General features: G+C 37.1%; 1 protein-coding gene across 66 annotated transcripts in view, besides 1 other annotated feature; it reads right to left on the bottom strand.

Annotated features, from left to right (window-relative positions):
• ANK2 (ankyrin 2) overlaps positions 1 to 24,253 on the bottom strand; it is a 678,115-nt gene that overhangs the window by 105,151 nt on the left and 548,711 nt on the right. For 52 of the 66 annotated variants that reach the window (NM_001386186.2, NM_001386148.2, NM_001386187.2 and 49 more), the window contains 7 exons: positions 22,654 to 22,851; positions 20,438 to 20,536; positions 20,175 to 20,273; positions 13,591 to 13,689; positions 3,937 to 4,134; positions 651 to 749; positions 28 to 126 (listed from right to left, as the gene is read on the bottom strand). In NM_001386186.2, coding sequence (NP_001373115.1) covers positions 28 to 126; positions 651 to 749; positions 3,937 to 4,134; positions 13,591 to 13,689; positions 20,175 to 20,273; positions 20,438 to 20,536; positions 22,654 to 22,851 — 891 coding nt within the window. The remainder of the gene's footprint in view (positions 1 to 27; positions 127 to 650; positions 750 to 3,936; positions 4,135 to 13,590; positions 13,690 to 20,174; positions 20,274 to 20,437; positions 20,537 to 22,653; positions 22,852 to 24,253) is intronic. The other 14 variants (NM_001354253.2, NM_001354270.2, NM_001354257.2 and 11 more) reach the window with 3 other exon arrangements.
• Positions 9 to 183: a silencer, noted in NCBI's record as "fragment chr4:114199559-114199733 (GRCh37/hg19 assembly coordinates)". NCBI's record gives its function as "represses an EF-1alpha promoter that drives an FKBP-Casp9 reporter gene in an ReSE screen in HepG2 liver carcinoma cells {active_cell/tissue: HepG2}" and the evidence as "EXISTENCE:reporter gene assay evidence [ECO:0000049][PMID:32094911]".

Below are 24,253 nucleotides of genomic sequence, written 5' to 3'. Positions count from 1 at the left end.
CTGTAAATCCTTTTCTGTGGTCCTCACCTTGGCAGTGGCATGAGGGGAAGCACCCTTCTCCAGTAACAGCAGCGCCACCTTCTGGTTGTCATAATGAGCAGCAACATGGAGCGGGGTAAGGCCGTTCTGTAAAGGGTGTGTTTAAGTTTCAGCATTAATAAATTAGGGTTAGCTGCCCTGAAGCTACCAGGATGCCTGGAAACTGATATTGATTAAATTCATGTTAATGAATTAATATAGTCAATAGAAAAAAGAACGAAAATAAACAAATCCCTAATAATTTTCATATTAAAAACATAACTAAAATTGAAAATGAGCATACCACCAGCAAAGGGGATCTTGAGGGTCACAATGTAAAAAGGTCTAAACTGCTATGTAAGAAATACTACATTAACATTGCAGGGATTCTTCTTAATATAGAGACTTTCTGGGGCTGTTGTGACAAGACTTTGAGGCACAGCTCAAAATGCTTTCTGAATCAGTGTGTATGTACCTGGACGGTCATGGAAGACATCGCCACCATGTCTATTTGGGATAGTTTCATCAGTTGCTCTCACATTCCTTTCAGAGAAGTGAGAAAAATGTCTTTACAGATCTCCTAATCTATCACCTTCACTGTTACATAATTATAACGTATAGAAAATCTTTACCTTCCCTGCAGAATCTGCGGCAGCACGGCGTTGCAAGAGAAGTTTTGCCACATCCAGGCTTCCATACTTGGCTGCTACATGCAGGGGAGTAAAACCCTTCTGAAAATGTGAGAAACAAAAGTAAAATCGTATTTATTGTTGTAACTCCTCAAAAAATCTTTTTATTTGTTAACATATTGAGCAAAGTATACTGATTCTTCATTTGGAAAAAATACTGGTAGCATTAAATCTGTTAGCCATGAACAAGGACAAAGAAAAAGAATACAATTTAACATACAAAAGTTTGGCTTGATAGACTGAATAAAAGAAATTTTATTTTAAGGGCTTGGAGACTGAAATCTGACTTTATAGGTTTGGGATTTTTAAAAGCCACTAGTGTCAGTAAACTGGCTCCAATTTGTGAATGGGGAAAAAAAGCCTTTTCTTGCCTCTAAAATTAATAGAATTGAAACAACAGCTGCCTTCTCTCCAACCCTCCTTCTCTTTCTTTCAATCCTTTTTATAACACCTGAATTCCAAATTCATTTAAATTTTAGGATATTTTGGCAGCCATAGTAAAAACAAGTATTCGTGAATTAGTTGACATATTTTCTGCAGAAATGGCAAGATAAATGGTCTATAGAACAAAAAACATGTACTATTAAAAAGCAACTCCCATCCTGACTTGTCCCCTTTCCCAAAAGACTCACACTGTCTAAAAGACCAATTGCTTTTGTAAAATACGTTCTACTTCTGGCATGATGTTGGGCTGATTAACACCAGACTTTTAAACACACTGAAGCTTTAGAGCTTTTTTTAGAGGGCTGCTCTCCTACACATGTTGATATGTGTACATTCAGTGTCTTCCGTGCCTAACCAATGGCCTTACTCTGTAATTAGCAGTGTGTTATAAATACAGATAAGTCTCTGGACTAAGATCTCGAGGATGGCACAGTTCCTACACCATGATGTCAAATCCATCCTCTTGGCCAGACAGTTTAACCACATGCTCTTCTGGCACTACAGTGGGAGTGGGGGAATTCTAACACCGATCAGGGCCTGTAAAACACATAGCAAATATGCCTGGGTTAGGTGCTCTAAGCCATGGCTTATCCTGGAACCATTTAAGCCCCCATCATAAACACAGAATATCCCCCAAGAAGCAATATTGCCCTTTCGGTGTCTCCAGACAAATTATTTTTAAATGAGATGACGTTTTTCTTTTTGCTTCTTTTTTGAACATTTGGTATTAATAAATCCTTGGAAGAGAGCGAATCTTCTGGTTTTTTCCAAGTGTGGGACAAACGTAGGAAGTATTTATTCCTTCTTGCATTGTCCATATAAACCAGCATTTGTGGTTAGAGCTCTCCTCCCTCCACTCAATGCACACAATGATTAGGGTGATACTCAGGATGAAACAGAGTTCTTTGAGGCTAACTGCATCATGAGGAAGAAAACATAAACTCCTTATCTTTAAAGTCTTGCTAGAATAGTGATCCAACTCTTATAAGTTTGGAAATGATTATTAGACAAAAATACATAAAATCTACTGTAGAATAACAAAACCAAAGTTAGAAGGCATCTCTTGAGTCACACATCTGCCTTCTTCCTTTATGTTAATCTCACCAAGATTTCATTTACCCTCTTAAATGTCTTTAATAATGATGAATCAACCACTGTTCAGCCCTAGTCAGCTGAACTCTTAAAATGCTGTTTGGCCGGGTGCAGTGGCTCACTCCTGTAATCCCAGCACTTTAGGAGGCCGAGGTGGGTGGGTCACGAGGTCAGGAGATCGAGTCCATCCTGGCTAACACAGTGAAACCCCGTCTCTACTAAAAATACAAAAATTTAGCTGGGTGTGGTGGAGGGCACCTGTAGTCCCAGCTACTCGGGAGGCTGAGGCAGAAGAATCGCTTGAACCCGGGAGGCAGAGGTTGCAGTGAGCCAAGATCGCACCACTGTACTCCAGCCTGGGCGACAGAGCGAGACTCCGTCTCAAAAAAAAAAAAAAAAAAAAAACACTGTTTAACATTTTATTCTATTTTATCGCCCTAATTTACCATGGATATAGTTATATTTTTTAAATCCTAAATATCTTTGACAGACAAAAGACTACGTTTTATTATCTATTTCTGTATTTTATGTATCTTAATTTTGATGATTTACACCCTCCTCTGATAAGACAATCACCAAATCTCTCAGGTTATTACTACATTTGTTGCTTAGTTTTTTTTTTTTTTAAGAACTTTTAAAATCCTTCCAACTTTTCAGAGTTCAGAACTTCAATAATTGTCAATTTCTTATATCAAAATACCTTTTACAGCCATAGGCAACCAGGTAAGTCATAACAGGCAACCAGATAAGCCATAACAGCTAGTGGGCTGCTCCTACTTACAAGAGGACAGATGCCACATCACTATCTCAGTTTAAATTTGCAACTTTCCCTCTCCCTGGATGAAGTACTTATACCTACTGATTATGAGAGAATTGAAATTGTCCTTTCATTAATCTGAATCACTGTTACATTTGTGGGAATTATTTTGCCCCATGACAAATTCACTTGCACTGGCTCAATTAATTTTGCTCTAATTAGCTGAGTATATTCATGTTTTATTCTAAGTCATCTCCAAATTATGAATGTCAAACAGCATGTATAAAGCATGGGAAAAATTACTCTGCCCTGTCATGAAACTTGGAACATAAGTAAAATTCTTTGCTCGATGTCAATAACAACTAAAGAAGTGTGATTTTCCAGCTTCAGCTCTCTTTAAACACTGTAAATACCCAGGCAAAAGTGTAGTTGGTAAAGTTGGAAACTAATATGGGAATGAGAATGTCAAATAAGTGGTGGCTAATAGTAGGGTTGCGAAAATGTACAAGTAAATTGAGCTTCGATCTGGTACTATAACTCACAGCAAATATAGTACTGCCAATCTAATGCAGTACCCTCTTCCTCATTAGTATTACCAGTTCAATATATTTAGGGATTTCATTTATCTTTTTCTTAAGAATATATTATGGATTTTATAATAAAAGAGAAGAAAAAGTGAAAATCATCTTAGAGTACTAGATACCTGTCCTAGAAACATTGGCATTAATTAGAATGAAATTCAGCACTCTTTATTGAAGATATACGGAATCTCACAATTCTATTAAATCATTTAGACAATGAGTCTTAAATATGTAGAGAAGGAAGTAAGTCAAGGCCTGAGGAGATCTACCCTCTTGATTCTGTATGTGGTAGAGCAGAAAGGCCATGACTTAGGAATCCTCTTGGTCCATGTTCTCATGATGTCATTCTCCTTACCTTGGTAGCTAAGGAGTGGGCTGCTCCTGCTTCCAATAGGACTGATGCCACATCCACCTGGCCCTCCCGGGCAGAGATGTGCAGTGGTGTGTACCCATTTGTAGTGGCCGCATCTGGATGAGCCATATGTTGTAGAAGCAGCTGGACAATTTCTGTCTTACCCAGGCGGGAGGCAATATGTAAAGGTGTCTGTTCCTCCTACAACTCAAGCCAAGTAAAAAGTTAGTGCCGGGCAGACAGAACTTCACTGGTGATATGTTTCACTCACATATTTCATGATGTCTTCTTGGAATCTCTAGGAACCCCACCCAAAAGAAAATCATTACTGCTTTAACCATGGCATATTTTATATTTTGCTACAGCAGTGACCCTGTTGGTCACAAAGTCTCCCTTTGATTTTTAAAAAGCATATACTTCCATGAACTTGATCACTGCTTTCTGAAATATTTCTCAACTCATTAAGGCTTTAGGCCTCACTTATGTTTAAATATAAACTAACTGATGGTTTGGAATAAGAATAAAATCTAGTCCAAAAGTCCTAGGACCTATATTCTCATCCAAGAGTTTTCACTTAGAAACAGGATTTATTCTGGGAACTCTTTCAAAGAAAAAGAACCAGGGATGCTGGAAAATCTTTGATTTTACTCCATTCAGCAAGCCAAGGATACAAATGCTGGTCATTTTCTTCAAGGAGAAACAGTGCACAAAGAAGATATTGTAATCTGGTTTTAAAAGATGTTTCAGAAAATGCTGTAGATAGTTCTGGAACTTGCATCCAGAACTTAAAAAATGAAATGGGGCTCTGGCAAAAAGCAAATAGGGTGAACTATTTGCCAAGTACTTTCCATTAAAAACAGAGGATATAGCTGGGTCTAAGGGACAGGAAGGACATGTTCCAGGAGGCTCAGGAAAATCACCTGACTCTGAAGTGTAGTTGGAAATAATGTTTTCAGTGTTTAGAGAACCAGGCCAAACCATTCTCTTGTAAAAAGAAAATTGAGTGTAACTTTAGTGATAAAAAGAGGTATATCTTTACTATCTGCCCAAGGGCATGTCATAATAAAAGTGAGGAAGGGAAAACTGGGCTGACTTTCAGGGCTAAGAATGAATGGAGAAAAGTATATAGAGGAAGAAAGATCTATCCAAAAACATGCAGTATCTTAAAGTTATAAGAAAAAAGAAGAGGAGCTATAGGAAGAGATAAAATAGCACTGCATGAATTCCAAGGTAGTAAGAAGTAAATAAATAACAGTAATATGATTATTTTAGACTAGAATTGAAATTTTGTGAACATTTGCAATTGAAAACCTTTCTTCATGTACAATGCATATGTGACCCATCTTTCTAACAGAGTTAAAAGGAAAGCATAAAATGTATTATTAGACCATTTTCCAGGTCAATATTAAGAAAAATTAAACAAGTTCTCAAAGATTGTCCAAGGTTACTCAGCTATTAAAACAGAACTTGAATTCAGGGCATTGGATTCTAAAGACATTTCTCTGCCTATACATTCTTTGGAAACAGATACTACAATAAGATGGCCACTAACAGACCTGTCGGAACAAAGTGACTCTCAGTAGGAAAGGAGACTGACAACACATTAGAAGATAAAATTTCTCTGAAATACAGAGGAAAAAAATAGAGGAATTGGGAGAATAAACATTTTTTATTTATAAATAAAATGAACATATTTTTATTTATAAAAATAAATGGTTAGCAAAACAAACAACAATTTAAAAACCAAGGAACTTGAGAATAGCTATGATGAACATTTGTTGTTTCTGGGGTTCCCTTCTCAGATCTCTGTCCTGCAAAATTTGATAAAGGTGGGTGGGTATTGCAAGTGACACACTCTAAAATAGATTTTCCATGAGTAAGAGGGATAGTTGGAGCAATGATGACTCTTTAATCCATAGCTGAGAAGTGGCAATCATTGACTAGAGGTAGCTACATAATTGGTTAGTTATTAACTATTGATCCTTGGTTCTTAGACTGTATAGCATTAATGTTCTTCTTTAAAAAAAAAAGTTAAAAAATAGGATGTCTTGCCTACTTTTTTCCATTTTTGCTAAAGCTTTACCTGAAAGTGGAAAAGGAAATAACATGCAAATTTTGCAAAGAAAATCTTTCAACCTGTAACCAGGGATATAAGACTTTTTGAGGTTTGGCCAATTATTTCCCTGCTGAATTGCAAAAGTTGAATTTACTGCTTAAGGGTAATGTTAATTTAAACCAGGGAAAAGAATTGGGGAAGTGCAGAAGAAAAGATTCATGGGAAAAGGTAAAGAAACGAGGGAAGCCTGATCACATAGACCTCTTCCAAAAATGAGAGGCAACAATTCCCTCATCATAAAGCATCACTGGCTGACACAGCCTGGACCGGAAGTAGGTGAGCTCTGCTTTGCCACTGCAGTCTACCATTTTACTCTGGAGACTTGCTGAGCCCCAGCTCCTTTTACAAAGAGAAAAATAACACTGGCTGGGATAAAGTTCAAAGATTTGATAAAATTTCTATTACTAGTTACTAGCTAACAGGGTTCCCAGGAGCCACATCTCCTAGTATCTAACTAAAGTTCTAAATGAGCTAAGTTTCAAGTGAGTTTAAGCCTAGGACCCCTGGGATTGCTCGATCCCTAAAGCAAATGCCAAGCCCTGTAATTGTGCCAACAGAACCAGCTCCTAAAGCAAGAGAGCTCCCAGATGGTCAGGCTCTGGTGGCCTTCTCAGTAATGTCCACTGAGGACACTGGACAAGGAAGGACCTTCCTGCGAGCAGGACCTGGGTGCAAACACATTGGCTGACAGAGGAACTGAGGCCACTGTGGTCCCCTGCTCTCCAGTCTGTCCAGCAAAATGTGTCTTATGCTCTGGACTGGTGAATAGAGTGTTCTGCGTGAACTTTAAAAATTACAGATGTTATTATGAGTATATGGTTTTTCTTTTGTTATATATTGTGAATAGGCAAAACATATGACTTAGACCCATGAGATATTATTTCTAAACCTGATTGAGAAGATTGTGAACTACGCAGCAATCTCAACCTTGGAGCTCAATGTAGTAGCTTGGCACAATTTTTTACTATCTCTTCTTCGGGAGAGGGTGAATTCTCGAGCAATGTTATTAGGTTTAGAGAGGAAGTTTCCAAAAGTGTGTGTGTGTGTGTGTGTGTGTCTGTGCGTGCATGTGCACGCATGCGTGCGGTGAGAAATCAAGAGGTAAAATAGCAGATATGTGCTCATTTTTCTGCCCAATACCCCCTGCACCCTTCTTCTGGGACAGCCATCCCTCATTTGGGGGAAACGGACATCCCATATTCCATGTGGTTCTAGAAGGGCTGCTGGTCTTCTTATCCCACCTCATAAATGGGCCGCATGAATGCGCATGAGCCCAAGCTTGATCTTTTATCCTGATCATAGTCATAAGCTCAGGGAAAGAATGTGACTAATTAGAAACCAGTGGTTTGTTCGGATGGGAGGAAGAGGGGCTCTCTTTACATTTGAAGTGGGAGATAATGACGTTAGCAGAAAGAGTTAGGAGAAAGATGCGGAATCAGAGGAGAAATCTTTTTCTTATCTTAACTCTGTCACCACAGGTTAATCAGCACAATCTTGAATTTCAGGACGCTAAGCCACCCTACAACACAGGAATCCTCTGGGTATCAAATAAGACACTTTGTGTTTAAATGCTTGATGAATTCTAAAGCACTGTTCAAATGTTAACTAAATCAGAGGCCCAGGAACACATTAAAAGGATTAAATGACAATAAAACACACATGGTGAAAGTACGCTTTAAAATAGGACTTATGAATAGGAAAACCCTAACTTCTTGCTGCTTGAAACATAATCCCAAAATCAGCAGCCCTGACATCACCTGAGAGTTTGTTAAATATGCAGAACTGACTTACAATATGCATTCTAGCAGGGTGCCCAGGTAATTTGTATGCATATTGACCTTTAGGGAGCACTGCTTCACAAGGCTACAGTATTTTTGTTTGTTCACAATAGAAAATGCTATAGGGAAGGGATTTCAGTTGTAGCTTAGAATGGGAGGTAGAGCTGAAAAGAAAAAAAATAAACAAAAGATAACATCTGAAATTTGATATTTAAATTAGAAGGAATAAGGAATTAAGAGGTAGCTATATATGTATTAATGATACTAAATGTAGTTGCAAAAGAGAAGTAAAAAAGTAGAATTGATGAAATCTTTGTGTAAAATTAACTAATTAATTAATATTTTAAAGGAAAGACTCTGTTGCCAGTGGTGCTTTTAAGGAAGAGGCTTCAGAGGGTATCCAAAAAGATAAAAGGTTGTAATAATGGGTTATATCAATACAGAAAAATTTGGCAGAGACACATGAAAATGAATAAATTTCCATTAAAAGTAGAAATTTTAATTTGAATAATAAACATTAAGGGGTTTTACTTTAAGACAGAAATGGGAAACTCTTTCATTATTAAATACGAATTACAAAAAATTTACAGGAACATCAACACAATTTCCAGTAAAGTATACGATAGTCAGAGTGCACTGGTTGACCATAGAAAATATTTTTCAAATAGCTGAATGCCAGGTAACCTTAAAAGGAAACCAGAAAAATGTTATGGCAGGGGAAGCTCATGGTTGAATAAAGCTTTAAATAGATAAGAATATAATAGATCAATGATGATTACCAAAGAACATAAATTACACTATGTGGACAATGCACAGAAAGGCAGATGAAAACCAAGACAACAAGAGTAATGTTAAGGCTACCCGTGTATCACTGGATTCTGCATGAAGATCTGTGGAACCTGTTACAAGAAAATGTCTATTAAATTCATTGAATCAAAGAATGTTAAGAAAGTCTAGAAAGGAGTTTTGAGTTTCTGAGTCCAACCCTCATATTTTACTGATAAAGACTTGGAAGTGGCCGGAGGCTGGCAAGATGGCTGAATAGGAACAGCTCCCATCTGCAGATCCCAGCGAGATCAACACAGATGGCAGGTGATTTATGCATTTCCAACTGAGGTATCTGGCTCATCTCACTGGGATTGGTTAGACAGTGGGTGCAGCCCATGGAGGGCAAGCCAAAGCAGGGTGGGGCTTCACTTCACCTGGAAAGCACAAGGGGTCAGGGAACTCCCTCCCCTAGGCAAGGGAAGCCGTGAGGGACCGTGCCATGAGGAATGGTGCACTCTGGCCCAGATACTACGCATTTCCCATGGTCTTTGCAACCTGCAGACCAGGAGGTTCCCTCGGGTGCCTACATCACCAGGGCCCTGGGTTTCAAGCACAAAACTGGGATGCCATTTGGGCAGACATTGAGCTAGCTACAGGAGTTTTTTTTCATACCACCGTGGCGCCTGGAACGCCAGTGAGACAGAACGGTTCACTCCCCTGGAAAGGGGGCTGAAGCCAGGAAGCCAAGTGGTCTAGCTCAGTGGATCCCACCCCAGGGGAGCCAAGCAAGCTAAGATCCACTGGCTTGAAATTCTCGCTGCCAGCACAGCAGTCTGAAGTTAATCTGGGAGGCTCCAGCGTGGTAGGGGGAGGGGCGTCCGCCATTACAGAGGCTTGAGTATCACCACTGACCCCACAGAAATTCAAACTACCATCAGAGAATACGATAAATGCCTCTACACCAATAAACTAGAAAATCTAGAAGAAATGGATAAATTCCTGGACACATACACCCTCCCAAGACTAAACCAGGCAGAAGTCGAATCCCTGAATAGACCAATAACAAGTTCTAAAATTGAGGCAGTAATTAGCCTACCAACCAAAAAAAGCCCAGGACCAGACGGATTCACAGCTGAATTCTACCAAAGGTACAAAGAGGAGCTGGTACCATTCCTTCTGAAACTGTTCCAAACAACAGAAAAAGAGAGACTCCTCCATAACTCATTTTATGAGGCCAGAATCATCCTGATACCAAAACCTGGCAGAGACACAACAAAAAAAGAAAATTTCAGGACAATATCCCTGATGAACATCAATGCGAAAATCCTCAGTAAAATACTGGCAAACTGAATCCAGCAGCACATCAAAAAGCTTATCCACCACGATCAAGTCAGCTTCATCCCTGGGATGCAGGACTGGTTCAACATATGCAAATCAATAAATGTAACCCATCACATAAACAGAACCAATGACAAAAACTACACGATAATCTCAATAGATGTAGAAAAAACTGATAAAATTCAACACCCCTTCATGCTAAAAACTCTCAATAAACTAGGTATTGATGGAACATATCTCAAAATAGTAAGAGCCATTTATGACAAACCCACAGCCAATATCATACTGAATGGGCAAAAGCTGAAAGTATTCCCTTTGAAAAGCTGCACAAGACAAGAATGCCCTCTCTCACCACTCCTATTCAACATAGTATTGGAAGTTCTAGCCAGGGCAATCAGGCAAGGGGAGGAAATAAAGGGTATTCAAATAGGAAGAGAGGAAGTCAAATTGTCTCTGTTTGCAAATGACTTGATTGTATATTTTGAAAACCCCATCATCTCAGCCCAAAATCTCCTAAAGCTGATAAGCAACTTCAGCAAAGTCTCAGGATACAACATCCAGGTGCAAAAATTACAAGCATTCCTGTACACCAATAATAGACAAACAGAGAGGCAAATTATGAGTAAATTCCCATTCACAATTGCTACAAAGAGAATAAAATACCTAGGAATACAACTTACAAGGGATGTGAAGGACCTCTTCAAGGATAACTACAGACCACTGCTCAAGGAAATAAGAGAAGAAACAAATAAATAGAAAAACATTCCATGCTCATGGATAAGAAGAATTAATATTGTGAAAATAGCCATACTGCCCAAAGAAATTTATAGATTCAATGCTATCCCCATCAAGCTACCGTTGATTTTCTTCACAGAATTAGAAAAAACTACTTTAAACTTCATATGGAACCAAAAAAGAGCCCATATGGCCAAGACAATCCTAAGCAAAAAGAATAAAGCTGGAGGCATCACACTACCTGACTTCGAACTATACTACAAGTCTACAGTAACCAAAACAGCATGGTACTGGTACCAAAACAGATATATAGACCAATGGAACAGAACAGAGGCCTCAGAAAAAATGCCACACATCTACAACCATCTGATCTTTGACAAATCTGACAGAAACAAGCAATGGGAAAAGGATTCCCTATTTAATAAATGGTGTTGGGAAAACTGGCTAGCCATATGCAGAAAACTAAAACTGGACCCCTCTCTTACGTCTTATACAAAAATTAACTCAAGATGGATTAAAGACTTAAATGTAAGACCTAAAGCCATAAAAATCCTAGAAGAAAACTAGGCAATACCATTCAGGACATAGGCATGGGCAAAGACTTCATGACTAAAACACCAAAAGCCATGGCAACAAAAACCAAAATTGACAAATGGGATCTAATTAAACTAAAGAGCTTCTGTACAGCAAAAGAAACTATCATCAGAGTGAACAAGCAACCCAAAGAATGGGAGAAAAATTTTACAATCTATCCATCTGACAAAGGGCTAATATCCAGAATCGACAAGGAACTTAAACAAATTTACGAGAAAAAACATACAACCCCATTGAAAAGTCGGCGAAGGATATGAACAGACACTTTTCAAAAGAAGATATTTATGTGGCTAACAAAATATGAGAAAAAGCTCATCATCACTGGTCACTAGAGAAATGCAAATCAAAACCACAATGAGATATGATCTCATGCCAGTTAGAATGGTGATCATTTAAAAGTCATGAAACAACAGATGCTGGAGAGGATATGAATGCTTTTTTTTTTTGAGACAGAGTTTCACTCTTGTTGCCCAGGCTGGAGTGCAATGGCACGATCTCAGCTCACCGCAACCTCCGCCTCCCGGGTTCAAGAGATTCTCCTGCCTCAGCCACCTGAGCAGCTGGGATTATAGGCATGTGCCACCATAGCAGTCTAATTTTGTATTTTCAGTAGAGACAGGGTTTCTCCATGTTGGTCAGGCTGGTCTCAAACTCCCAACCTCAGGTGATCTGCTCACCTCAGCCTTCCAAAGTGCTGGGATTACAGAGGTGAGCCACCATGCCTGGCAGAGATAGGAACACTTTTACACTGTTAGTGGGAGTGTAAATTAGTTCAACCATTGTGGAAGACAATGTGTCAATTACTCATGGATCTAGAACCAGAAATACCATTTGACCCAGCAATCCCATTACTGGGTATATACCCAAAGGATTATAAGCCATTCTACTATAAAGACACATGCACACATATGTTTATTGCAGCACTATTCACAATAGCAAAGACTTGGAAGCAACCCAAATGCCCACCAATGATAGAATGGATAAAGAAAATGTGGCACATATACACCATGGAATACTATGCAGCCTTAAAAAAGAATGAGTTCATGTCCTTTGCAGGACATGGATGAAGCTGGAAGCCATCATTCTCAGCAAACTAACACAGAAACAGAAAACCAAACACTGCATGTTCTCACTCATAAGTGGGAGTTGAACAATGAGAACACATGGACACAGGGAGGGGAACATCACACACTGGAGACTGTCGGGGGTAGGGGGCTAGGGGAGAAATAGCATTAGGAGAAATACATAATGTAGATGACGGGTTGATGGGTACAGCAAACCACCATGGCACATATATACCTATGTAACAAACCTGCACATTCTGCACATATATCCCAGAACTTAAAGTATAATAATAATTTAAAGAAAGACTTGAAAGTGAAGTGACCTGCCTGAAATCACTTACAATTTATATGACCATAGCCAGATGCTTTCATTCCAAGATAACACTGTATTATAATGGTACAACTCAAACTGAAATGAGCTCTAACTTAGGTATATCAAATATTGAAGAAGGAGGGAAATTATTTAACATGAGAATCTCAATGATGTCAGTGCAAAAGTTAACCAAACCACATGGAAAAGGAAATAGAAGGTACAGTATATTGATAGTGTATTCAGTGCATTCTGGTGTATTCAATGTAAAGGAAGGTGAGAAAATAAATTGGAAAGTAAGATTTAAAAACAGAAAAAGAAGGAAAAAGAAACTTGTGAAGGAATTACAAGCTATTAGAAACAGGACAAGTCTGATCAAGCAATCTTCAGTGCCCAAATTCTATTTTGGAACTGTGGAAATACAGAATGTCTAAATTTGTAAAATCAGAGTAAGAAGAAAAGTAAATATCATAAAAAGGAGGGAAGGCAAACAGATGAAGGAAAAACACTAAAACTTGGAGAATAACTTGATTTTATGTAACTAGTGAGGGATGACTGTGGAAATGTGATTGGTTTAAGTGGTAAGAAATAAATTTTAATATGTATAGCATCTAAATACTTTAGGTTAAATTTTAAAATTCATGAAAATAAAGAGATATGAGAAAGTGCTTTCCGAGGTTAAAACAGTATTAAAATATCAGTCGATGTATTTCTTAGATGATAAGTTTTACATTTTTTCAAATGTTAATGTTTCTGAAATTTGGGTGCATTTTTCGTCGTGTGTAATTGCTTAAATAATGTTTCTTTTTTTTTTCTGGAAAACTGCTATTGAATTGATCCTTTCACTTACAGTCCCTGGTATTTCCAAATCAAGGAACTGAAGGGCAACACCCTCTCTTAAGGATGAAACTCATGCGCTGCGATAGAAGAGAACCTCAGGGCACCAGTACCTACCCTGGCTCTGGCATCAACAAGGGCACCATTTCTCAGGAGGCATCGGACCACTTCCACCTGCCCGGCTCGGGCTGCCATGTGTAGTGCCGTCTCACCACGCTGCCAGGGAACAAAGATCGTCAAATCATAAATTAACCCACCGCTCTGGATGGTAAAGAATAAAGTTGTCCCTTTTTGTGAAATTCAGCAATATATCCAAGGATTTAAGAAACCTATGAAAAGGCATAATTATTTAGTCTGGAAAATATAGATTTGTATCTTTTTTTTTTTTTTGAGACAAAGTTTCACTCTTGTTGCTCAGGCTGGAGTGCAATGGCAACATCTCGGCTCACCACAACCTCCACCTCCAGGGTTCAAGCGATTCTCTTGCCTCAGCCTCCCCAGTAGCTGGGACTACAGGTGCCTGCCACCACACCCAGCTGATTTTTGTATTTTTCTTCTCCATCTTTATAAGGATAAAACGAATGTTTATTTTATTTTTTCAAGTCCATGAAAAACTAGTAAATTTATCCGAACATCCAGGATACTCTTGAGTTGTTTCACTTCACAATCAGCAGCTTAAGCATCCCTTTAAATTGATTTTGGTGATGAAGTTTTCTTTTACCCTAAAAACCTAAAAATCTGTCATTGTCTCACTTAACTATGTGATCACAACTTGAATCTATTTCAGTGAGAAACTAGATGCTGAAGATCAACACGTTGCAAAAAATTAATACCACTTATACCATAAATAAATCATTTCAAGATTCAAAATTTCCTTCTGAAATAAAATATTATTTTGTATCTGATTTTTTTGTGTTATGAGACTAGACAAAAATGGATCAGACAAGAAATTTGATTTGCCCAGGAGGTCCTCTATTTAAGATTAATGAGCATATTTAATTATAGACAGTTATTTGAGAGAGCCACTGAAAGATGAATAAAGTGACTGTCAGCAGTGTCATCTGTTGAGGTAGGCCATGCATCATGCCTCAGGTATCTTTGTTCTACCCCAAAATATGACACATTTGTCAGGAAAGGGTGGCTTTAGGTGTAGCATGAAGAACAAGGGTTTGATTAAGAGAATTTTCTCATCAAGTAGCCGGTTATTACTCTACTGTCTCTAAGAGAGAGGTTTTTAAAAATCAGCATATTTTAAAACCATATATAGTTCTAAAGAAGGCAGGGTTTCATTCACTCAAGTAATTTTACAGTTAGAATAAGATATTGGAATAAAAATTATTACAGATTGATTTACCACAACTGTTCTAGAAGATAAGGATGATTTCAACCAAGTAAAGTAAACCATTCCAAATAAACTAAATTTGATTTTAAATTTGGTTGTGGTAATTGACAAACTGCAGAGAATAATTTCTTCTGATTCCTTGTACAACAAACCCTTAAATCTAGAAACTTTAAGGTGAACTTTAATTTGGCACATAGTTCACAGTTAATTTTTTCTCAGTATTTTGGAGACCCATTTCTTTTGAAGTTATGAGAAATTCATGTCAAATGATTTGATTGTGAAAGCACTAAATTGGATATCTACTCTAATTTTCTCTTCTTTGTTGATGACTCATTTATCCTCTAATGGGCTTATTTTCTGATAACAGATTTAGACTTTTGTAAAGTAAATGTATCTGGAGTATGTTGTTTTATAAAACGATGTATCATTGGAATGCTAATATTTATCTTCAGACTTTAGATGTATCACAAGATTTTTCCTCCCTGGACAGACAATCATGATTTCTAACTTGTTTTCCATATCATTTAAAACCTGTCTCTAAATAGATGAGGCTAAGATCTTCTTTTTTTTTTTTTTTTTTTTTCAGACAGAGTCTTGCTCTGTTTCCCAGGCTGGAGTGCAGTGGCATGATCTCGGCTCACTGCAGCCTCAGCCTCCCGGGTTCAATAGATTCTCCTGCCTCAGCCTCCCAAGTAGCTGGGATTATAGGTGCCCGCCACCATGCCCAGCTAATTTTTGTAATTTTAGTAGAGATGGGGTTTCATCATGTTGGTCAAGCTGGTCTTGAACTCCTGACCTAGTGATCCACCCGCCTCGGCCTCCCAAAGTGCTGGGATTACAGGTGTGAGCCACCGTGCCCGGCAAGGCTAAAATCTTCTAACTACAGTTGTCCCTCTGTATTGGTGAGGGATTGGTCCCAGGCCTCCTGTTTCCCCCACCAATACCAAAATACATGGATGCTCAAGTCCTTTATATAAAATGGTGTAGTATTTGCAAGTAACCTATGCACATAATCCTGTATAATTCAGCTCTATATTACTTATAATACCTAACACAATGTAAATGCTATATAGTTGTTATACTGTACTTTTTAAAATTTTTTGTTATTTTTATTGTAGTTTTTTATTTTTATTTTTTCAAATATTTTCAATCCAAGATTGATTAAATCCATGGATTTAGAACCCACTGATACAGAAGCTACTGATACAGAGGGCCGATGGTATTCAAACAAAACAAAACAAGACCAGTTGCAGTGGCTCAAGCCTGTAATCCCAGCACTTTGGGAGGCCAAGGCAGGAGTATTGCTTGAAGTCAAGCATTCAAGACCAGGGTGGGAGACATAGCAAGATCTCTTCTCTAAATAAATAAATAAATAAATTAGCCAGGCATAGTGGTGCATGCCTGTAGTTCCAGCTACTTGGGAGGCTGAGGCAGGAGGATAGCCTGTGCCTAGGAGGTTGAGGCTGCAGTGAGCCATAATCTTGCCCACTGTATTCCAGCTTAGGTGACAGGGCAAGGTCGTGTCTCAGAAAAACAAAAACAATACTCCTCAAATCTTTACGTTATTTCTAGGTCTGATAAAAGGCTAGCAATTTTACTAATTTTGGTAGAAATGATGATAAGAATAAATTTCTGTATAAGAAGTTAAAAGTCAAAGAGGTCCCAGGAATTCCTATGTAATGACAAATTTTCATGTTTATTATTTATTTATTTATGTAGAGACAAAGTTTCACTCTGTACCCCAGGCTGGAGTGCAGTGGTGCAATCTAGGCTCATTGCAACCTCCACCTCTTTGGTTCAAGTGATTCTCCTGCCTCAGCCTCCCAAGTAGCTGGGATTACAGGCATCCACCACCACGCTTGGCCTTCATGTTTATTTTTTAAGCCAAGCTTTATCAATAAGGGGCTTTCAAAATCTGAAATGTTTCCAATACTGGCCAATATTTCTAAAACCTTTATTTTATACTTAAGTTTTTTTTATGGGTTTTACACACTTGAAATTGATGAGTTAGATATAGAATCTAATTTAAAGCACTAAGGCTTAAATTCAAACAAAGGTTATGTATAAACACACACATGGTCTCTCCACTTTATAATAATGGTCTTGTTTAATTATTATCTAACACCTCTGGCATAATGGACTTCTACTGTAAGTTGCCCTTATTAGTCTTTTATGTTAATATTACCATTGTTTATATATAAGAATAAATAAGAAAATGAAAATCAGGATATATTGTTGTAATAAATAATTTCCATGTCTTGATTGTCAGGCACCCTATTTTATTTAATAGCCTTGTCTTTCTTATCTCAAGCTAATGAAATTTAAGGATTCGGGGAAATTTTTAAGCATAATATAATGTGTGAACTTTACCATTAGTCCACTGATTTCTTATGGGAAGGAAGATAAAACTTTGTAAGACCTTGCATTCTTTCTTGATAGTTGTTAAAATGCTTAGTTTTCTATTCCTATGGTTATTGATGAATACTTTGGATTATGGATGTGTTGTAATTGGCAGTTCGGCATTCTAAGTTTCAAAGCGTATTAATAAACCTTCTGGAAAAGGAGATTTTCAGTTAAAAAAAAAATGTCTATACGTGATTGAGTTACTGGTACACCTCACACTTGGAGTGAATTTTCAGGCAAAAACAAAACTAGCAAGAGAATGGGTATGCTCATGTCCAAAGCAGGTACTAAATTTCATGCCACTCTTCTCAGTTGTTAAAACTGACTCTGCTGACAGGGCTACATTGACTTCCACTTTGGGCGCATCAAGTTGAAAAGCATCGAAGCACAACAAACAGCATTGCATTCAAAAATGCAACATGATTTCAGGCAACACACAAAGGCTCCAAGGGTGGGGTGTTTTAGGGTCAGGAAGTGACCAACTCTGACACAGCAAGCAGGCAGTCAGCGTTCACACGGTTTCTTCATCAACTTGCAAAGAATTTTGGATCCAGTAGCTATATCCTCATGTTCTGAGAAAACACAACTTCACAGGCATCCCACTGCTAGAGAAAGTTAAATTCCTCTAAATGTAGGATTGCCAGATTTAGCAATTAAAAGTACAGGACAGCCAGTTAAATTTTAATTCCAGACAAACAACAAATAATTATTTTACTATGTCTTAACTATTGCATGGGTCATATATAAAAATTTATTTTTCATCTGAAATTTAAATTTAACTGAGAGTCCTATATTTTACCTGGCAACCCTATCAATAGGTATCTGCTTCCTGAAGGACCTACCTTACAAAACATAACTAGAAAACACGGAAATTATATTGGCATGTGCCCCTCAAGAATTTGTTTTGAGGGAGCTGGATGGAAAGATAATATAATGGACAAATGAACAGATAAAATGAAGAACTTTAAATGACCAACAGTTGGAAGCTGAAGTTTAATATAATGATTGTCAAATTTGAAAGTCTTCAACAACCTGAAAAATATGTCAAAATTGTTTGTTTCAATTAATATTTTATTTTTATTTGAAAATATACATGTACCCCATATAACTTTTTTAATAGAAGGGAGTATATTATAACTCCATAACCACCTGAAGATTTGGAATTGGTCAGTGAAGAAGCAAAGTAAGAGTGGCCACAAATTCCACAACCATTTTATATGGATTATTCTTTGAAGAGTTTGTAAAAGTCTCCACTAAAAGAGATTAATTCAGGGGATTGCAATCAAGCAACCCACAGAATATTCTTGTACATGTTATCATTATAATGTGATAACATATTGTAACAGTGTCACTATTGCTCCTCTGATCCTATAAGCATTGGAATGCAAATAAGAATAGGTGGAGATAAAAAAGGAAAAGGCGGGCAAGAACACAGCGGTTTTTTGTTTGTTTGCTTGTTTCTTTTGTTGGTTGCTGTTGTTGTTGTTTGTTTTTTGTTTTAATGTTACTGGCCTGTACGTAAATCTGTTCAGGTCTCAATTAAAAAAAAAAAAAAGAAAAAAAAAGGTAGTCATCTCAAAAAAAAAAGGGGGGGGATGATGATTACTTTTAAAGTTCTAAGAAGTGACTAGAAATTAAACTTATGTTGGCACATTGTGAAATTACTCTCATGTCTAATGGAGTAAATAAAGATTAGCATATAATATTATGACCTTAGGACCAATAAGCTATAATTAAGAAAACTTATAAATATAGACTTTAAATTCTTCAATGATTTTATGCTCCAATTACTGAATAACATGAAGAGAGAGTATTAAATAATTTTTAAACTCAATTGAATTAATTCTCACAATGGATTTTCCTAGCCATCAGAAACTTCACTGTGGAAATGGTGTGTGAAATACAGAAAAAAAGAAATATGAGAGAGAATACAAATAAAAAGTGAAACTGGACATTCTCTTTCACAGCTTAAATGGAATGAGATGCCAAAAATTAGCAACAAGTGCCAATCAATTGCTTTTGACAACATAGCTCATTTTAATAATAAGCTTATTTATTTTGAGAGAGTTATTTCTGGTGCACATGTGAATCTCAATACTCTACTAGACCTTCTTGAACTTCAAATACATGCCTGCACCTTGTGCAAAGAAGTTCTCTTGCTCAGGAGAACATTTGCATTCAATGATTTATCCTGATACAATGACCAAAGTTTAAAGGGGGAAAATCCAAGAAAATGAGAGATATACAAAGAAATTAGAAGTGAAAATCCTAATTTAGATTACATAGAAAAATTCTGAGACATCCAGTACTTGTTGATTGAATGAAAGTGGTCTGGAGACCAACATTCATTCCAGGATATGTGGTATAACTTTCAGCTAAGAGAAGCCTCCACTCTAGCAAATCAGATCAAATCAAAAGTAAAAATCAACGTAATGTTACAAAATGGGAAATCCATGTAATTGAAGAAGGAAGAGTTTGACACGAAGTAAAAGTCTCTGATATTGATCTATCTCTGGTTAATCTTTTGTTAAGGTTAATTATGGTAATGATTTGATGTTTTTGTGAAAATTGCCTGGAATACAATTCCCTCAAGCAACTAGGTTGAGCCCTAAAGATTCTATTCGAACCAATTATCCATTCACTTGCAGAGGAGCTTTTAAAATGTATTTTGTTTTAATAAATGCATTTAAGATGCATGTTCAATCCACCTACACCCAGAGTCTTAAGCTGTCTCACTTCATAGCTTCCATTTTACTTTATAACACCTCTTACCCTATCCAGGTTCTTTTCAGTGAAGTTCTGGTGATTATTTCAATAATGTGTTATTACAAGGGCCCTTCTCAAAGCTTGGTTGCTTACTTCGATGACATACACGCAAACACACATACACACACCCACAATCTCTGTTCCTCTCGCTCTTCCTCCCTGGGGTTATTCTGACCCAAGCCATACTCACAATGTTAGTGACATCTGGAGAGGCTCCGTTCTGCAGCAGAAGGAGGACAATGTTCAAGTGGCCCATGAAGGCAGCCACATGTATTGGTGTGAGGCCAGACTGCGAAACAAAGCAACAGCAGTTTTACTCCTCTGCACCGGTGGGGCTTTGGGGCTTCTTCAGATAAATAAAACTTGAGTGAAGAGGACAGAAGATGAGAAAAAGGAAAGGGAGGAAGGAGTAAGAGAAGGAATGCTTTGTGACTAGCTAAAACATTTTTCTACCTCTGTTATAGCTTGGATTGAAGCCCCATATTTCACCAGCAGTTCCATGACTTTGATGCGGTTTTTCTTGCAGGCAATGTGCAGTGGAGTAAAACCATTCTGTGCAAAAGACAATCAAGTTAGTTGAAAACATGCAGAAACAATTCTCACACAACTCCATGCTGGCACATTGCAGGCAATAATGTTACATCGTCACATAATGTTACCATTTCTTCAATCCCTGCAGGTGTTGGAATTTGGAAAGAAAAATGGTGATGTGTTCCTGTAGGCACTGAACTTCACTTATGTGTGGTGGGCCTGTACGTAATTCTGTTTGTGTGGTTACAGGGAAAACAAAAGTGAAGAAAAATACATGGTCCTTCTCTTTAAAGAAAGAAAAACAGAGAAGCAATTACATTTTAGAAGTTCTAAGATGTTTTAAGGTATATTGATTGTCCTGGTTATTAAATTACTTGAAGATGAACTGAAGATAAGCATATATTCTTCTGAAGGGCCATTTCTCAGAGCATAAGAATTATTCATCTACTTAAAAAATCTAAGAATATACTGCCTTTGTAAGAAATATTTCAACTTTGCTACGACTTTCTTTATAAAGGGCATATTTCTAGTCAGCAGAAATCATTATGTTGATCATTTTTACATACAGAAGCTATATTTTTATATCATTTTTATAACATATATGCCAATGAGATAAATTTTATTGTATAAAGAAATGACTGTTAAGTTCTCGAATATTTTCAAGAAATGTATGGAGAATTTCTGGGATAAATGCAAGGAGGTAGCTCTGGGGTAAAGAAATGTGGAGAAGAAGTCTGTCAGGTACTTTCTAACTTGGCGAACTAGGCTAATGCCCAGGAATTGGGGCAAATTAAGTAAAATATGTTAAATGGCCCGGTGCTTACTCATCGTGTATTATATATTTTTTTTATTTCAACAATGTTCCTTTGTTATGTCTATTCTGCCAGCTAACAATTTCGCATGTCCCAACATGGACCAATCATCAGTCAACGTTTTTACACACTAGCAGTTCTCAGGAAAGCATATGGTCTTACTTAAGCTGATGACTTCTTATTTTTCACAATAGAGTGATAAACATAATTAATTGGTTAGGTCATTTCCCCTGTTTATGAGCTATACAACATGCCAGATATAAATAGCCACATGCACATGCAGCACTTAAAATATTTGCAATTAACAGGCTGTGATATTTTATAAGCTTATTGACCACTATCCAATTAAAAATTAATGTTTTTGACTCCCTAGACAAAATGAATGTTTTCACATAATTACATATAATCTGGAAAATATATTCACTTCCCACGTAATTATCAATAAATTGATTCCAATGGAAAAATTCTTGTAAAAATCATATTTAATATTTGATGATTCTAATGATGGTCTCTCAGCTTAAATACTGATTGTTTGAAGACCAATTTTAACAGACACAAACCATGTAAACACATAGAAAAAAAGGATTTACTTTTAGTTTGGGAATTAGGACACAAGAGGCATAAATTAGTACATGTCTAATACTTCCAATGATTATTGTTAGAAAATAAGTGAAGCAAGGAAGACTTATTCAATATCAGAACTGGGGAGACATAAAGCTGCTCTAGGGACAGCCTCTTGCAGTTTTCTCTTGAGCAGTTCCTGAAATGGTGTATATAAAATGCTCCCTGAAGCCGTAACACACTAGGCATAACTTTTCTATTAGCCTATGGTTGAGTAATCAAGTCAACAATGAAAATTTTCAATTGAACTCTGCATAGACTTACATTTTATACCCCCTTACATAGTCAAATATATTCACCATTAATTTTTTTTCCAAAAAGAGATTAATAAATTCAACTTTTCATACTCGTGTTCTAACTTTATCTAGAGGTATCTAGAATTTATTTTGTAATTTCCTATTTTTCAACTTCTATTTTCCATTTAAAACTGCTTATCACTCCAAAGGTTTCATATCTATCTGTTTGCAACTCACTAGTTTCAGAAATGTTACATTGGTGTTCTCTTAAATACATCTTTGCTCACCAGCATTTGCTAACAAACTATGAATGTATGAAGTACACAGGCTGATTGTGAAGGATGACAAATTTAGCAGGATTAACTACATATCTGTAACCTTGCATTGCTGGTGTATGCATGTTGGTCAATGAATGTGGGTTTGTTTGTCTCAATCTGTATTCAGTTAATGTGGACTGGGCCAAGTTTACCAGGGCTCTGGCGTTCGGATTGGCTCTCTTGTCTAAAAGGAGTTTGGTTACACGGTAGTGGCCACAGTGCGCAGCAACGTGGAGGGCTGTCAGGTAGTCTAGGGTGACATCATCAACAGGTGCCTTGTGCTGTAACAGGTGCTTCACACATTCCACGTGGTCTCCCTGGGCAGCCATGTGTAGTGGAGACAGCCCATTCTGCACATTAAAAGAAAACAAAATAATGTCCTTTTTTTTTTTCATTATTTTCAGGTTCCAAAGTACAGCAAAGTTGATTCTTGATCTCTAACACAGTTAGTGGCAGGGGAAAAAATAATTTCCATTTGACATCAGAATATACAGCAGACTATATTTCGCAGAGATGAACACTAAGAGATAATTTAATTTCATAATTATGCTACCATAGACAAAAATGCAAATTAGTATGTCTGTCATGCATGGTATGTGTGGCAATTTAGCCTGATTTTACAGTTATTAGGGCAATATTAAATACAGAAAAATAAATAATACCTAATGCTTCAGTTATTTGTATCCAACTCCATGCATAGCAGTCTGCATTCACTTAATCTCTCTGCCTGCATTTCTTATAAATACAGAGGGAAGTGGGTGAATGAGAAGCAAGTGGGCAGGTCAGGGAGGTATGGAAACTTTGACCATCTTTTAGATCCATGTTCCTCTGAAATTTTACAATTCCTTTTACCTATAGTATTAGGAGACTACTTGAATTGGACTTGGAGAAAACAGGTAGGTAAGGGCTAGAAGAGTGTGAGGCAAATGTAGGCCATGTGCCAATGACCTCACAACTTTTACAGTTGAGGATAATCTAAATTTGTCTTCATTAATATGGACCAAAACAGCTTTAGCCTTAATTCTAGAGTAAGGTCAACAGCAGGAACACAAGAAAGCAGGGTAATGCACTGTTCATCAGACTCGGTAAGACTCTCATTTTTTTTAAAGCTAAATAAATAAACTTTCAGGAAACAATATGTAAACTTAGGAAAAAACTAAATTTTAAAAAACAATTTGCCTATTAAAGAGATGGGACTATTGTCTTTTATTAATACCAATGCAAATATGGCCACTAGAAAAAGGATTGTTCGCCAAGTATCCAGTTTGACAGTCATTACATTCAACAAAGCAGAAATTGTATCTGGATATTTTACCAGAAAAGGCCCCCCGCCCAATATTCTCAACAAGGAAGGTGATTTCAACAGTGAGGGACAACAAAAACAAATACATTAATTCTTAATTGTGGTAGAGTATATGTGACTTATAAATTATTCATATATTTTGAAATAATCTTCATTCATAATTATTACTTTCATGTTTAGAAGTTCATTAAATAAGTTTAGAAAACAGCAACAGGCTGATGAGAAGTATTTATGCATTGAGGGGAAGATAATTGCAAAGTGTAGAAGAAATTCAAGGCTTGATGACGTTTGGACTGGAGTGTTGCATGTTTCTTTGAAAAATTAACATTCATTGATGCTGTTTTACCTATTTGAAGGTTATTTACGTGGAAAATAAAATATTCATCATCTAATCTTTTGTTGATTTTACGCATATTTACTTAGCACCTACTCAAGCCCTGTTCAAGTAC

Source organism: Homo sapiens, chromosome 4 (assembly GCF_000001405.40).
Source record: "Homo sapiens chromosome 4, GRCh38.p14 Primary Assembly".
In the NCBI taxonomy this organism is placed as follows: Eukaryota; Metazoa; Chordata; class Mammalia; order Primates; family Hominidae; genus Homo; species Homo sapiens.
This window is presented reverse-complemented; position numbering and strand designations above follow the sequence as displayed.